General features: G+C 41.1%; 2 annotated features.

The window, feature by feature from the left end:
- Window positions 12,830-13,371: an enhancer, noted in NCBI's record as "H3K4me1 hESC enhancer chr6:41286938-41287479 (GRCh37/hg19 assembly coordinates)". NCBI's record gives its function as "activates a minimal SCP1, AML or CMV promoter by ChIP-STARR-seq in primed H9 embryonic stem cells {active_cell/tissue: H9 hESC(primed)}" and the evidence as "EXISTENCE:reporter gene assay evidence [ECO:0000049][PMID:30033119]".
- Window positions 13,580-13,649: a silencer, noted in NCBI's record as "silent region_17176". NCBI's record gives its function as "represses an Ori minimal core promoter by ATAC-STARR-seq in GM12878 lymphoblastoid cells {active_cell/tissue: GM12878}" and the evidence as "EXISTENCE:reporter gene assay evidence [ECO:0000049][PMID:35858748]".

Below are 16,308 nucleotides of genomic sequence, written 5' to 3'. Positions count from 1 at the left end.
CCCTGCTTCTTCTCCTTCCTTACTCCATGGAACCAACCCCATCCTCCAACCCCCTCACCCCGTTCAGCCGCCCCCAGGGCCCCGGTCTCTGTGCTGCCTGGTGCTGTCAGCCCTTCATGTGCTCCCGAGCTGCAGGCTGGAGCAGGGGGAGTATGGCTGGGTTTGGCCTGGGGCCAGAGAGGAGGAGCGAAATGGAGCACAGTGGGGACAGCTGTGCTGGTAAAGGTGGTCAGCCTCAGAAGATGAGACAAAAATCAGGGGTAGGGTTAGAAAATTATGTTTAACATCGATTTCAATATCCTTTGGCCGTCATCTCTGTTTGCTCATTTGCTTATTACAGGCCAATCAAGATCCTTGCCTTTAAACTCTCAGGCCCTCACCCAAGTGCACCCACACTCACACAGACACTCACTCCCTCCTTCAGCACTCCCTCCTTCAGCAGACCACTCTGCTCCATAGAAACCAGCCCCAAGTTAGGGGGTGACAGAGCTGGAGAAGGGCAGTCCTGGAGAGGAGCAGGGCCAGGCGGTGCACACACTTCACGAACACCCTGGGGGCAGCAGCTATGGAGGTCTCTGAAGGCTTCAGCTCAGCACAGGCCGAGGGGCGATGCTCAGCTCTTGCCACTCTGGGACAGCTGAGATAATGAGTAAGGAAGGGGCCATCCAGTGCCTGCAGAAGACACCTACCAGTACCTAAATCCCTGCTGTGGTGGGACCCTCCCACATTGCTGTCCCCAGCCCCTCTGGAACACTCCCTGTGCATCTGATCCAACGCCCCAAACAGGGGAGACCAAACCCAGTTCAGCCTCTTTGCCCAACCTGAGAATCTTCCTCCTCCATGATCTCCCCTCTTGCTTTAATTTCCCTAAATCACTCAGTCACCACCACGGCCAGCTCCGGCTCCCCTCTGTCCCCGCTCTGTTCTGCCAAGTTCAGGCTGCCCAGCTCAAACACGTATCTGCACATCTGCCCTTAGCTGACTCCTCCCTTCAGCCTCCACCTTCTCAGGGGCTCCTGTGGACAGCTCCTGGGGGAATTCTCCCTGTGCAGCATCTTGACAGGGCCCCAGCCCTTACTCTCTCCGAAGCCTACTGGAGATCACTCTGCAGGGAATGCATTGCAGGTTCCACAAGGCCTGGCCCGGTGTGGTATCCCATCTCTGCCACCTCCATTTCAAATGCACTTCTGCAAGCCAAGAGAAGGCCCTACTGTCTGGAAAAGTAGGCCTTCTTCCTTCTGTGCTTAGATTCTAACGGGGAACATGGAGGGAAGAAAGGGTCGGTGTGGCCCACTGGACCCCCTGGCATTCTCTCTTCCAGCCCCCTATCTTTGTAAATGGAAGAAAATAAATAAATAAAAAAAAGATAAATCCAAGTTAAACAAGAAAAGTGGCCACCGATACGTTTGATTTCCGAGTGTTAAAAACAAAATAAGAAAAATTAGAATGTCAGAAGTAGAAGCCTCAACAGCTCAAAATACCAACATGAGAATATTCCCTCAATTCATCTATGCATTAATACTATTTGACAATCAAGTATCTCATACATTTGAGAAAAATTAATAGCATGAAGGTAAACCATCAATACAAGCACACAGAACACCTGAATTTAGAATTAATGTCAATAATTCATGAAATGGATGAGCAACTTTCAATAATTGAAATAAACATTCTCAGAGATATTTGCAAGAATGTCTTATCTCCTTATTCATCAGATATTTACAGATTAAAACAAATTGCAATATTTATTCATTAATTTGACAAATATTTTAAAAGCTTGTCCTACTCTCTTGGCAAGGGTGTGGAGAAGTGGGTGTTATGTTCAAAGTGGGAATAGAAACTGTTCAGCATTTCTGAATGCAAATAATAAGGATCTAAGATGTTTAATATGTGCATTCCTTGACTTGTCAATTCCATTTCAAGGATTCACCCATCCTTGAGAAATACACACACAGGCACAAAAGGAGATTTACAAAGACGCTCATCACTGATTGTTTATAATAATGATCTCCACAGGGGAATTAATAACATAACTTCTGGTCCACGTCTTCTATACAGCACCATGTAAAGGTTAAAAAAGAATACAGCTTGTGTGCAAATGTAGCTAGATCTCCAAACATCTTGTTAAATTTAATAATTGCTGCAGAATGACATGTATGGTATAATCCCACTTATATACAGTAAACTGAACTCAAAATGGTTTGTCTGTGCACATAAACCTCTTATCTGTACAAACACAGAAATTTTCTGTTTGTGAAAAGCTATACATCAAACTAATAATAGCAGTCTTTTGGGGCAATAACTATGATGAATGTTGGGGAAGAAGTGGTGAAGGGAACTTTATCTGTAGTCTGTTGCAATGTTTGTTCCTTTACCCAGCTTTAGTAAGGTATAACTGACCAATAAAAATTGTATATTTTTAGTGTATTACAAGATGCTTGGATATATGTATACATGGTGGAATGATTAAATCACGCTGATTTAACATATCCATCACCTCACATACTTATCTTTTTTTGTGGTGTAAACATTTAAGATCTACTCTCTTAGTCCTTTTTTTTTTTTTTTGAGACGGAGTCTCGCTCTGTCGCTCAGGCTGGAGTGCAGTGGCGTGATCTCAGCTCACTGCAAGCTCTGCCTCCCGGGTTCACACCATTCTCCCGCCTCAGCCTCCTGAGTAGCTTGGACTACAGGGCCTGCCACCATGCCTGGCTAATTTTGTTTTTGTATTTTTAGCAGTTTTGTTTTTGTATTTTTAGTAGAAACGGGGTTTCACTGTGTTAGCCGGGAGGGTCTCGATCTCCTGACCTCATGATCCGCCCGCCTCAGCCTCCCAAAGTGCTGGGATTACAGGTGTGAGCCACCGTGCCTGGCCCTCTCTTAGTACTTTACAAGTACACAATATATTATTATTAACTGTAGTCACCACGCTGTATAATAGATCTCCAGAACTTATTCATCCTGTCTAACTGAAACTTTGTACACTTCGACCAACATCTGCAATGTTTGTTTTTAATAAAAAGTCTTTATATATATATACATATATATGTTGATTGTGTAATGAATATAATATTTAAAATATTGTATTAAAAAGCGTTTTATTTTTATTTTTTGAGATGGAGTCTCGCTCTGTTGCCCAGGTGGGAGTTCAGTGACACGATCTCGGTTCACCGCAACCTCCGCCTCCTGGGTTCAAATGATTCTCCTGCTTCAGCCTCCTGAGAAGCTGGGATTAGAGGCGCCCGCCACCACACCTGGCTAATTTTTGTATTTTTGGTAGAGACGGGGTTTCACCATGTTGGCCAGACTGGTCTTGAACTCCTGACTTCAAGTGATCTGCCCACTTGGCCTCCCAAAGTGCTGAGATTACAGGCGTGAGCCACTGTGCCTGGCCAAAAAGGGAGGTGGAATGAAAAAAATGGGCAAAGCAGAGGACCCAGTGACTTTGGATCCTGGGGCCAACATTGGTGGGGCATGTGGGTGGTGGCCCCAGGACAGGTCATGAACCATGGCTTTCCTGTGCCTAAGGTAAGGGGCTTCTCCGAAAGACTCTGAGGCAATACACTTGGAAATGAAAGTGTAAGGGAATAAGTGAGAACACAATATACAGGAGATGAGCCTGCAGAGAGGGTAATTAAACAAACTTGCCACTAGGCAATGTGGGCAGGAGAAGAGCTGCTGAAGACTGCTAGGGGAGCTAGTAAAGGAGTGATCAACAGTCTGTTGGGTTCTGGCACAGCCAAGGTCCTGGGGCTGCAGGCAAGTCTGCAGAAAGGGTCCCACAGTGGAGCAGAAGGGTCATTGCCAGGCTCTGTTCAGCCCCTGGGGACATTTCCCCAAGACCCTCTAGGGCCACTGACCTGAGTCTGGGCTTGTCCAGCTGCCTTCAGACGCATCCTGTGCTTTCCAGCGGCCCTTGTCATTGCTGTTTGTGGGATCCAAGGTAGGGGCTGCCTCCAAGCATTTGTCATGGGGACTCCAGGGCAGACCAGTGCCTGTGTGGCAAGGTACATTCATCTTAGGCCAATTCATCCAGCCCATCTACCCAGAGCCATTAGGAGTGCACCTAGGACGCAGGCTGAAGTGAATCTCAATCCCATCATTTGCAATATGGAGACACAGCATCTGTCCCACAGAATCCTTGTGAGCATCACACGAGATATTGTATGTAAAAGCTTGGTGCGTAATAGACATGAGTTACTATTGCTAAAAGTAAAAGAATTCTAGCTTATTTTTATTGTAAAAATATTTGTTTCAGCACTGTATAGATCTATTAAGAGAACTACAATATCTTTAATGTGATTTATCCTTAAAGGGGTCTCGACAATTGAAAAATAAGATCTAGGCAGCAAGTGGGACATGTCAGACTCGTATTTCTTCTGGTTCCTGAAATTGTCCTCACAGCAGAAGAGGACGGTCTGTTCTTTAGTGGAATATCAGCCCCACACGTGCACACCCTGAGTTGTAGATTTCAAGGCATCTAACTCACAAACTAGTGTTGTAAAGACCTTGGACTCTTGAGATACACACACTGTTTGGGTTCCTGCTCTGCCTCTTTGGGGCTCTGACATTTTTAAGCAAACTGCTAAACCTCTAAAAGTCTCAGTTTCCTTCTTTCTTGAATGGGTATTAGTGAACCCCTAATATAATTGTTCTGGGAATAAATGAGTAAACACTTCACAATATTTATAGAAGTGCCTTTTATATGCTATCTCCCCAATTAATGTCTGTCATTAATAATCAACACCCACAAAATCAAGTTTGCTTGACTTTTGATTATACATATGTATACATAAAATAGCAGTACACAGAAGATCTGAAAGAAAAGAAAAGTAAAATTTATCTAATTTTTTGGTGGAATAGAGCTTTCTCTTTATGATCCCAATGCCACAAACTATACAGGGAAAAATAATAGATCATACTACATGCAAACTAAAACTTGGATGTTATAGAATAATACAATAAGTGAAATTTAAAAACAAATCACAACTGTGAATGTTTTCTCCCTATTTGACATATAAAGGGTTATTAAATTTCATATAAAGACAAGCAAGTCCTTTAAACAATAAGAGAAAATGAACATTTCAATTGAAAAAGGGGATGAGTCTAGGAACAGGCACTTTTCTGTAGAAGAAATATTAATGAAAATGTTAAATTGTATTCAAAACGGATATTATTAAAATAAGTGCAAAACCACTCTTCTCATCAGATTGACAAAAGTTGAAATAAATGATGATAACCAGAGTTGGGAGATTTTAGGGAAAAGGTGATTGCTTATTCTGCTGGGTAAAAGCAATTGACACCACCTTTCTGAAAGACAGTGTGGCGAGATGAATCAAAACCCATTTTAGAAAAGAAATCAGCTCTGACTAAGAAATTCTAATCTAGGAATTAAAAAAGTGTATATTGGCCATCGTTGCAGTATTCTTTCAAGTATTAACATCTCATCAAAATAATGCAGATACACATCTTCAAAAATTGTATGCTGTAAGTGCATACTAACAAAAATGCAGCAGTTCTATGCTTCAACACTACATCCCAATTCCCTTTTCTTGGAGGCAATTTAAAGTATTTTTCATTTGTATCCTTATGTTGATACTTGTTTGTTTTACAGCTTTAGCTATTCTCCATTAGACACATAATACGGGAGGTGAGGCTTGTTCCTCTTTCATGCCACTCACACCTGTGCCTTTCCCCCTACCTTTAGCCTCCCAATGCAGTCAGATACATTTACCAGTACAATTAATACTTAGATTTTATATTTCATGACAATGTAAATATTTTTCTTAGCCCTAGTCATGTGGTTTATTATGATTACATTTTCTTTTTGATACTACTTTTTATTTCTGTGAAATTATTAATTGCCTTATTTATAAAATTTGCTTTATATTTTATGTGCCATCATTCATTCCTTTCCAAACTCTACATCAACAATGTAAATTTTGTGTCAACATATTCATACATATCAGTTCTTGACTGGTTTTATTCCTCCAGCACAGCCCCATGTGGTCTAATGTCTTCCCGCCGCAATCTGGACTAATTTTCCTCTATGCTTTCAGCACAGCTGAAATATCCCTTTCTGAGATACCCCTTCGCCATCTCCTTGATAACTCCCATAGCTTTTATCCCGTGTTGAAAGTGCTCTCTCCTGATCCCATATCTAACGCTCTCTTTGTTGATTTCCTCCTTTTACAGCAGGGTTCGGTAAACTATAGCCCTGGAGCCAAATCCAGCCTGACATCTGATTTTGTAAATAAAGTTTTATTGTAGACATGCTTCTTCATTCCGTGTACTCTGTGAAAGGCGCCATGCCACAGTGGCAGAGGCGATGACGTATTCACTGTTTTGCCCTTTACAGAAAAAGTTTGCTGACCCTAGAGAGGTAAGATGATAAAGAATGGAGAGGCAGCCTATATGTAAGGGTGTTTCTGAAGGAGTGGCCGGAAGAATGTAAACACAAGCAACAAATATAGGCTTAATGGAAGGAAGATTTTCTGAAATGAAGGATGACATATGTGAAGCTCTTACTAATTTGAGATGCAAATTGTGTCTTCCAGCACAGGCCATCTGAATAATAAACAATCCCCATTCAGTGAGTTCACATAAAGTTTTTCCCTGAGTCCTGGGAAGCCCACCACATGACTGGATGACTCTCTAGGGTAGAGGTCCTGTCCTCTGTGGGTTGGCTCAGGATTTGAGGTGCATTGCTTTTATGGACTTGCACATCAATGCCTGCTTGCCTGATTGTCACGGAAGGGGAAGAGAGTGCTGGAAATTTGAGCACTGGTCCTTAAATTGTTCCCCTGGAAGTGCGACTGTCACTTCCACTCATATTTTATTAGCCAAGCAGATCATCAAGGAGCTGAAAAGCACAAGTCTTCTGTTTGTCCAGAGATAAAGGGGAAACAGATGTTCTGCGATAGCAATACCCGCCACATTTATCTAGGACAAATCCTACCATGTGCAGGACAGGAGAGAAAAGAAAGTTATTTCCTTTAAGTCTCATTGGCTTCAGAGCTTTCTGCTGCAACACCAAACATCAGAAGACAACAAATCAATTTCTACAGAGAACAAGGAGCAGCATCATCCAAGGCTCTTAAGTCTCACTATTATCCTTCCTCTGTGAAGACAACCAGATGGTGTTACACATGATAGAAACTAATGTCCTTCTTGGAAAGAAATAATTTGAATATTTACTTCAATCCACTGGTAGTTACATTTTTTTAAAGGGCCGACAAATGGTGGTAGTAAGTACTGGGACAAGTCCAAAGTTTAAATAATTATTGCATTCTGGTTTAAAAGGTGACCAAAAGTGGTGTCTTTATCAAATAATATTTTGTAATTGCTTGTTGTTTGTTCATATGTATGCAACTAATTTTTGTGTATGAATCTTATATATATCTAAATTAACAATCTCTCCTATTATTTCTAATAATTTTCATTTATGATATGTATGTATTTAGTTGTAATATAAATTAATAAATTTATATCAATGTAATTAGCATAAATTAAAACATGCATAAAATGTTAAATATTTTACAAGAACATATTTATATTTTAGTATGTGCACGTATAAAATATATAACATGAACAAATACTGAAGAGTAAGAATGTCCATCCAGAAAGGTGAAAAAATGTAAATCAAATGTAATTAATAAATATGCTGCTAGAAAAATATTTGTAAAAGGAATGCATCTATATATTTTTAGGAATGAAAAACTAGTGGAAATTACAAAAATAAAGTATATGAGAAAACCTATGAATTAATATATTTCTATAATTACATAATAATCGAAATATTAATTAGTTGGTGTATTCGTTTTCCAAGTCTACTGTGACAAATGATCACAAACTGGGTGCCTTAGCAGAAGTTTATCCTATCATAGCCTGGAGGCCAGAAGTCTGTGATCAAGGTGTTGGCAGGGCTGCACAGTCCCCATGGTTCTAGAGGAGAATCCATGCCTTGTTTCTTCCAGCTTCCGAAAACTCAAGCATATTAGCTGAAAACCAAGAGAACAAAAGGAGTTTCTTCATTCATTCCTACAATTCATTCAACAAATGCTTATTGAGTCTGCCATTCCAGACACAGGGAATAGATGGAGAGCTCGGGCACGTTTCCTTCACTCTTGGAGCTTATATTCATATTCAGAGAAGGGTGTTTGGTAGGATGGAGAAGGCAGACAGGAGACAGAAAATTAATAAGCAGGTAAAGAAAACCTAATAAACTTATAATAAAAGTAAACCCTATGCAGAAATAGAGTAATGTGATAGTCAATTTTAAGTTAAACATTTCGAATAAACGATAATCCATTATAACAAAAATAACCATTTCAGACATAGAAATATTTGATAGAATTTACCAGTGAAGTCATCTTGGCCTCCAACTTCAAGAGAAATATAGTCTTTAGCAAGACAAAATGCCATAAATATTTAAGAAAAAGCTAATATTGAACTTAAACTCTTTAAGAAAACTAGAAACATATCTCAATTCATTTTATAAGGCTCAAATCAGCCTGATACAAAAGGCAGGAAAAGGAATTAGAAGAAAGGAAAATGATAGACCAATGTCCCTCATGAACATCCTGAACACAGTATTCGTGTACTGAATTTAGCAGTATATAAAAAAGGTAATACACATGGCCAGATGGGGTTTATCCCAGGAACTCCAGGTTGGATTAACATTTGAAAAATCAATCAGTGTAATTCATGATATTAAAAAGAAAACAAAATATAAGGTCATATCAAAAAATGTAGGAAAACATTAGAAAAATTAGAACTATAAGCAAACTAGGAAAATAAAGGAACTTCCTTTTCCTAATAAAGGGTATCTGCAAAATACCTATAGTCAGAGTTACCTTTTATGATGAAAGACCCCATCATTTCCATCTAAGTTAGGAGAAAAGGCAGGGCTATCTCTCTCAGCACTTTTCTTTAATATTGTTCTGGAGATTTAATTACTTGATAAGGCAATAAAGGGAAACAAAGGGCATACATATTGTAAAGAAGAAGGAACATTGTCTTTATTCATAGACAACATGATTGTATACACATTAAATCCTAAGCGATCTACACAAAAAGCTATAACAGCCAATACTGAAATTTAGCAGTGTTTCAGGGTACAAGGTCAATATAGAAAACTCAAATGGACTATCTATATAATTGCAGTGTACCATAGACAAATGAAAACTTTTAAAATGACACCTAAAACAACATCCTAAACCATTAAATGCTTAGGGATGAATTTAACAAAATATGTGCAAGACCTATACATTCAAAACTATAAAATATTGATGAGATAAATTAAATTAAAATCTTTATTTAGTCTAGGGTGTTAAGGGTAAGACTAGAAGAGCTGTTTCTGTCGGTTCACACACATATAAGAAAATTTCTACTTAATTTTGAGCTACAATTTACTTAAATACATATATCCACGTATCAATCATCATTATCAAGATATAGAATGTTTGCATTACACCAGGAAGATAAGATAAATTAAAGAAAATCTAAATAAATGGAGAGAAATACCATGTTCCTGAACTAGGAGACTCAATATTGTTAAGATGTTAATTCTTGTCAAACTGATGTATAAACTCAATACTAGGTTACGTCACAGACACAAACCTAGTAGGCATTTTTGTTGAAATTGACAAGAGGACTCTGAAACTTACATGCACAGGGCACAGAGTAGCCAAAACAATGGGAAAAAGAAGTACAAAGCTGGATAACTCACCTCTGATTTCAGGACTTACTATAAAATTACAGTAATGAAGACAGTGTGCTACTGTAGTAAGGACAGACAGTTAAATAAATAGAACAGATTAGATAGTCCAGAAATAGACCCACACATATACGGGCAACTGATTTTTAACAAAGCCACCAAAGCAATTCAACGGACAAAAGCAAAGTGTTTTCAACAAGTGGTGCTAGGACAACTAGTTATCCATACAGAAAACTTAATTCTAAATGAATTATAGTCATAAATGTGAAAGTTCAAACTAGAAAACTTTTAGATAAAAACACTGGATGGCCGAGCATGGTGGCTCAAGCCTGTAATCCCAGCACTTTGAGAGGCTGAGGCGGGCGGATCATGAGGTCAGAAGTTCAAGACCAGCCTGGCCAACATAGTGAAACCCCATCTCTACTAAAAATACAAAAAATTAGCCCGGTGTGGTGGTGTGCGCCTGTAATCCCAGCTACTCAGGAGGCTGAGGCAAGAGTATCATATGAGCCCGGGAGGCAGAGGTTGCAGTGAGCTGCGCCATTGCACTCCAGCCTGGGCGACTGTGCGAGACAGCGTCTCAAAACAAACAAACACACAAACACAAAACAAAACAAAACAAACAAACGAAAACACTGGAGAAGATCTTTGCCTGTAACAAATTTTCATATACATGGAATCATACAGTGCAGATTATTTTATATGTGTCATCTTTTGCTTGGTCTAAGGTTTTGGAGATTAATTCATGTTGTTGGTGTATCATAGACCATTCCTTTTTACTGCTGAGTAATATACCATCGTGTGATGTGCTGCTATCTGTTTATCTGTTCACGTGTTGAAAGACATTTGGGAGAAGTGTATTAATTGTAAAGGCATGTGAAAGAACTTCCTGGTGTAATGCAAACATTCTGTATCTTGATAATGATGATTGATATATGGATATATGTATTTAAGTAAATTGTAGCTCAACACATTGAGTAGAAATTTTCCCATATGTGTGCGAACCGAAACAGCTCTTCTAGTCTTACCCTCAACACCCTAGACCAAATAAAGATTCTCTGAGCTGGAGGAGAAGAAAGAGAGGAGTTGAATGAAGTAAGAAGAGTGGACTTAAGGCCTGGGCTGGTGTGCACCTGTCTCCTGTCCCCAAGATCAGGCCAGGGCCCCAGTGAAATGTCAGGATCTGATAATAGCTGGTATCGTTTCCTTATTTCCTGAAACATGTCCTTGGGAGGTGGGGAATTTTACTCTCCCACCCACACTGGCATGGTAAAAATTATAAAAAATAAATTCATGGGTTTCTTAAGCAAGGGATAGAGATCCCAAAGTCATAACTCCTGAAATGCAAAACCTGGAAGTTTTTTCTTGTGTCTAAGAGTGAAGATGATCAGGTGGTGACAGTCACGGCTGGCCTGGTGGGGTCTGGAGGCTGGGTGAGGGGAGACACCAGCAGGTGAAGCACGGGCTCCGTGACCTGGGCCTAGAGGGGACCGCATACCTTAGCAGATGGCAGCCTGGAGAGGGAAATGAGCATGAGAGAGGAGTGGAGAGCCTCACCTGGTATTAAGCTAAATATGCAAGAATGATGGATCCTTATCCTGTGTGTGTTGGACTTGTTTTCACAACCTCATTGCCAAGGAGCTACAAGTGTAGCACACTTGCAGAGTCAAAGTAAAGGGCAAGTTCAGCTCAAAAAATGATTACCTGGGGCTGGGCGCAGTGGCTCACACCTGTAATCCCAGCACTTTGGGAGGCCGAGGCGGGTGGATCACCAGAGGTCAGAGGTTCGAGACCAGCCTGATCAACATGGTGAAACCCCGTCTCTACTAAAAATACAAAAATTAGCTGGGCATGGTGGTGCATGCCTGTAATCCCAGCTACTTGGGAGGCTGAGGCGGGAGAATCACTTGAACCCACAAGGCAGAGGTTGCAGTGAGCTGAGATTGTACCACTGCACTCTAGCCTGGGTGACAGAGTGAGATTTTGTCTAAAAAAAAAAAAAAAGATTGCCTGGGTTTCCCCAAACAATGCTTTAAACCCTTATGATGATTGTAAGGAACATGGCTGAGCTGCAGCCACATAGGCATAGGCTGAGGTAAACATCCCGCATGACTCAGCGGGACTGTAGCACAGGCACACAGTCTGGTGTATAATGTAAACACAGCTATGTAGCCATAACATGGAGAGGCTCATCGCCTGGCTTGGAGCCACTATTGTTTGTGAGGTGCATAAATGCAGCACCGACAGTGTGAGTGAGCTGCTGAATAAAGCCATGTCTCATCTACCTGCTGTCTCTTGAGTATTCTTCCAGCTCCCTGCCCTCCTGTCCACCTGCTCCCTTGGACCTCGGCTGGGGCTCAAACCTAACAATGATCAAAATGGAAAAAAAATATAAAGAAAAATTCTAAACTTAAAGATGCAAGGTAATTTTATTTGCTTCTTGTAGAATATTGTAAAATTTTGACAGCTATGAAATCTGAGACAATGGTGCTAGAATCATATGATGTCTGTCCCAAATTTGTGTAGAACTTGAAAGTGACAAAGAACTTTCAAATCCATTGTCACAGACCCTCCAGATCTTTTCCTTTGTCACCAAACCCTCCAGATCTTTTTCGGCCTCCTCTGCCTGATCTTCATCTCCTTCCACCTAGATGACAGCAAGAGCCCCCACCAGGCTCCTTCACTCACAGGTTTCACCTGCAATGTGGGTTGCACCTGCTGCACCTGGCCCTGACCCCGGAGGACACAGAATTAGTGCTACACTGTAGAGGACATGTGGAGGAGTGCAAAGAGCTCTGACTCAATCAAGGCCCCACTCTGATTAGCTTGATTGCACACACATGTGTGCATGTATGTGCTAGTGTGTATGTCCAGGGAGTGGTAGGAGGTATTGGGAAAGGAACTCAGGCCTATTGAGCTCTGAGACACTCACCCTTGAGTGTTTTCCTGAGCTGGTGGGAACCTCTGCAGGAGACCCAGGGCAGAGGGCCCCAGGCAGGAAGACCCAAGGGGAAAAAAAACCCACAAAAAACAAAAACAAAAAACATCTAAAAGAAGGCCACTGAAGTTTATCCAGAGCTATTCACCTCAGAGATTTCATAGGAGAGAATCTGCATTTTACAGACAGGGAACCTGAGTTCCCTCGAGGGTGTAGCATGCTGAGACGGTCAGTGGGCAGGTAGAATGCCCTCCTGGGACCCTTGTGGGCTCAGCTTCTTCCAGATTCTTCTCATGTGCTAAATCTTGGTTCCAAGGAAAGAAGTTACAGGTATTCCCTAGAAGAGTAAACAGAATAGATTCTAGAAGCAATTGGGGACCCCCCAGGGCTGTTTCCTCTAACAGGGCCACAGACTACTCCGTTCCCTGACGGCGACTTCCGGTCTCACATTTCCTGGACACCTCCCAGAGCCCTGTTCCCGCATAGCGATGAGACCCAGGCTCCTCCCAGAAAAGGCAACCCTTCTCAGGATTGGGGACCACGGACTGATTGGGGACCTTCCTCTGGAGCTTCTATTCCTGGGGATTCAACCTGGGCTCCCCACAGGACTGAAGGCCCACTTACACAGCACTGTCTGCAGCCTTGCGGGGTCTGAGACTCGCTATGCGTGGAGGCCGAGAAACGTGGACTCCACCTTCACTGTCTGCTGGTTAGGGAGGACTCCCCTGTCACACGGCAAAGAGAAAGTCAGAAGGGCCACAAAGAATAGAGTGTGCGAAGGTGTTCTGGCGACACTGCAGAGAGGAGACCAGGGAAGAATCAGAGAAACTGCAGGTGGCTGAAGATGCGCGCACGCGTGTGCACGCTGGCTGCAATAGCAGCCTCTGGCCAGCAGGGGGCAGGGGCAGCCTGTCCATCACCCCGGAGCGTAATCAGACGGCTCAACTCGGCTGTGCGCCCTTGGAGGCACACTGAAGAGCCCTCTGAAGAGCCACGTACGCAGCACCCTGGCTCTGCTTCCTGTCCTCCAGGACAGCGGCACGTGCAGTGGAAGGAGTGCTGGGCTGGGCTCCTGATGCCACAAATTCACTGGGGGGAACCTTAAGGGAATCACAGGGGATAGTGGCGACCGCTTCACAAGCATATTGTGGAAATGAAATTAGACTAGTCATTCTCAGACTCCTCTGCATGCTGGGATCATCTAGGGAGCTTCAGAAATGCAGATGCCGGATTCCACCCCAGTGCGCCTAATTTAATTGGTCCGGGTGTGGCCTGGGCTTTGGCATTTTAAAAATATTCCTCAGGTAATTCTAAGGTGCGGAGAAGTTTGGGAATTCCAGGGTCAGATACTCCTGTGACCAGCCACTGTAAACTCTAAGTTGCAAACTTGCTTTTACTCGTTTGCCTGAGGTCCCTTCTTTTCTACCTTGTTTCCGTATAATTGAAATTCGATCCCATCTGCTAGCTCATGTGTAACCTCTTCAGAATGGAAAATGCAGATCTGTCTCACGGTCTGAACTCAAACCATTCAAACATTTACTCCCACGAACTGTAGAAAGTTTGCCCAAAATTCACGATCTGATTAAAAAAATCCACTATGACAAACGTCTGCAAGCACCAAGGAAGACAGTCAAGGTGCAATGAGTGCAGGAGAGAGTGGAGGGTCCGTGGCTGTGGTGCCTCTGACGTTCCCCATTGGAAAGGGTTCTGGGGTTCTCACTGTTTAGTTCTGTCAGGCACCTGGGGGCACGACAAACTCAGGTCTAATTTAGATAAAATTCTAGCTTTAACTCAGTATTCCATGGTTATTTACATCACACTCCATGTTCATTACAGTGTAGAAGGGAAATATAATTTGTGTACAATACCACGTGTGCTGCACACGAACTCATGCACTAACAAGACTGTTCAACGTGAAATAATGTGGTATTTGGCATTTGGGGGATTACTGTTGTGCGTACTTTTTGGAGCATGTTATAGAAGATGTAAGAGGTTGCAGTAATAAGTGGGGACATTGGTTGGGGGTAGATGGCCTGGGAACACTTTACTCTGGCTCCTATGTGTGGTAATTAATTCAGACTCATGCTAGCTGAACATCGCCATATGCCACACACTGGCATGGACACAACCTTACCCCTAGAACTGGCCATGCCATATAGGTCTTTTTGACCTCAAACCAACTTTGGGAGTGTCCAAAAGGGTCCCTGGAATATCTCAAAAGAATTTATCTTCTCTTCTTGTAAAAACAGACATGTTAAACTAGTGAGGCTTATTTGATATGTTAAATTGCATGAGAAGCAATGTCAAATAATGGGTGATGCTAAACCTTCTTTAAGTTATGTTTGTTATTGATGAGTGTTCCAGAAATTATGTCAAATTCCTAGAAATCTGATATGTACTAGTATAATGTTATCATCCATAATTTTAATTATTATGTTAAAATGTCGTATGTTACCAAAGCAACCAAACTCCCTTGTCAGTTGCATGACACAGAATTGTAAGAGATTCATGATAAAGGCTGATGAGTACAGGTTTCTGATAATTTTAAGCTCATACTATAAGGCTAGGTAAGAATTTCCAGACCTCTAATGGAAAAGTAATGTATTTATAAATCTGCTAACCCAAGATCAAGCAAAACAAAAATTAATTATGTGAGACTAAATTAACTGATGAGAATAATTATAATTTTTATAACTTTTCGTTTGAAACATTGCTGGTTCTTTAATGTCTTGCTTTCTAGATTTAGGAAAACTTTTTTCTATAACTTAAAACAATTTGATAAAATATACTTTTGTAAACAAAAAGAAAACGTTTTTTTCCTCCCTACCTGATCACCCCATAATTTGGAAGCACTTATTGAATATTCTTATTTTCATGGCAATATAGGTATTTGCATAGGTTCAATAAGAATCTGTTCTTATAACAAGACATAATTGGGTAAGTCCTTAACTTGGCCTCCTAGCCTAGAGAGGTTTTTAAAGGTCTAATCTGAGATTCCTTGTTAACAAATAGTAAAACAAACAATAAAATGAACAAATAACTAAGATTGACTTATACAAAGTCAATAAAGCCCCTTGGATATTATCAAAACTTTGACAAAATGATGTATTTTAAAAATATGCATACATAGAATCACTTTTCTTGTTGCACTTATGTAAATAATCAGATCAAGTTTAATGAGACTACTGATTTTGCACAAAAAGAAGAGTTAACCATGATTATTTTTGGAAAAATTTGGAATGACCATAAAAAAGATTGTATTTCAATAGAAAACTATAGCACCCATCATCAAATTCTGGTCTTTGTTATGTCCTTGTAAATTGGATTGAATCCTAACATTTTCTAGTTTCACTAGAAACTAAAACTGCTTTTTTCCGAAGCCCTGCCAGCTGAAATTGGATGACTTTAAATTCAGAAAAATTACTACAACAGACCATGTATGGAAAATTTTCATGCTGCTGCTGTGTGGGTCACTTGGAGAATTCACTGGAACACCTGATGATATTTCCAGAGACATTCAAACTGCAAGCCAGGAAAATCCATCAGGTTGCAATTGCCATCCTCATTCCATCATCTAAAAATGCTTCAAACTCAAATTTAGAAATCTTGACAGGCTGCTCTCTGGACTTAAAGACTAAGATCATAATTTGTT

Source organism: Homo sapiens, chromosome 6, assembly GCF_000001405.40.
Source record: "Homo sapiens chromosome 6, GRCh38.p14 Primary Assembly".
NCBI classification, from domain to species: domain Eukaryota; kingdom Metazoa; phylum Chordata; class Mammalia; order Primates; family Hominidae; genus Homo; species Homo sapiens.
Note: the sequence above shows the minus strand (reverse complement) of the source record. Positions and strands in the feature narration are given on the sequence as shown.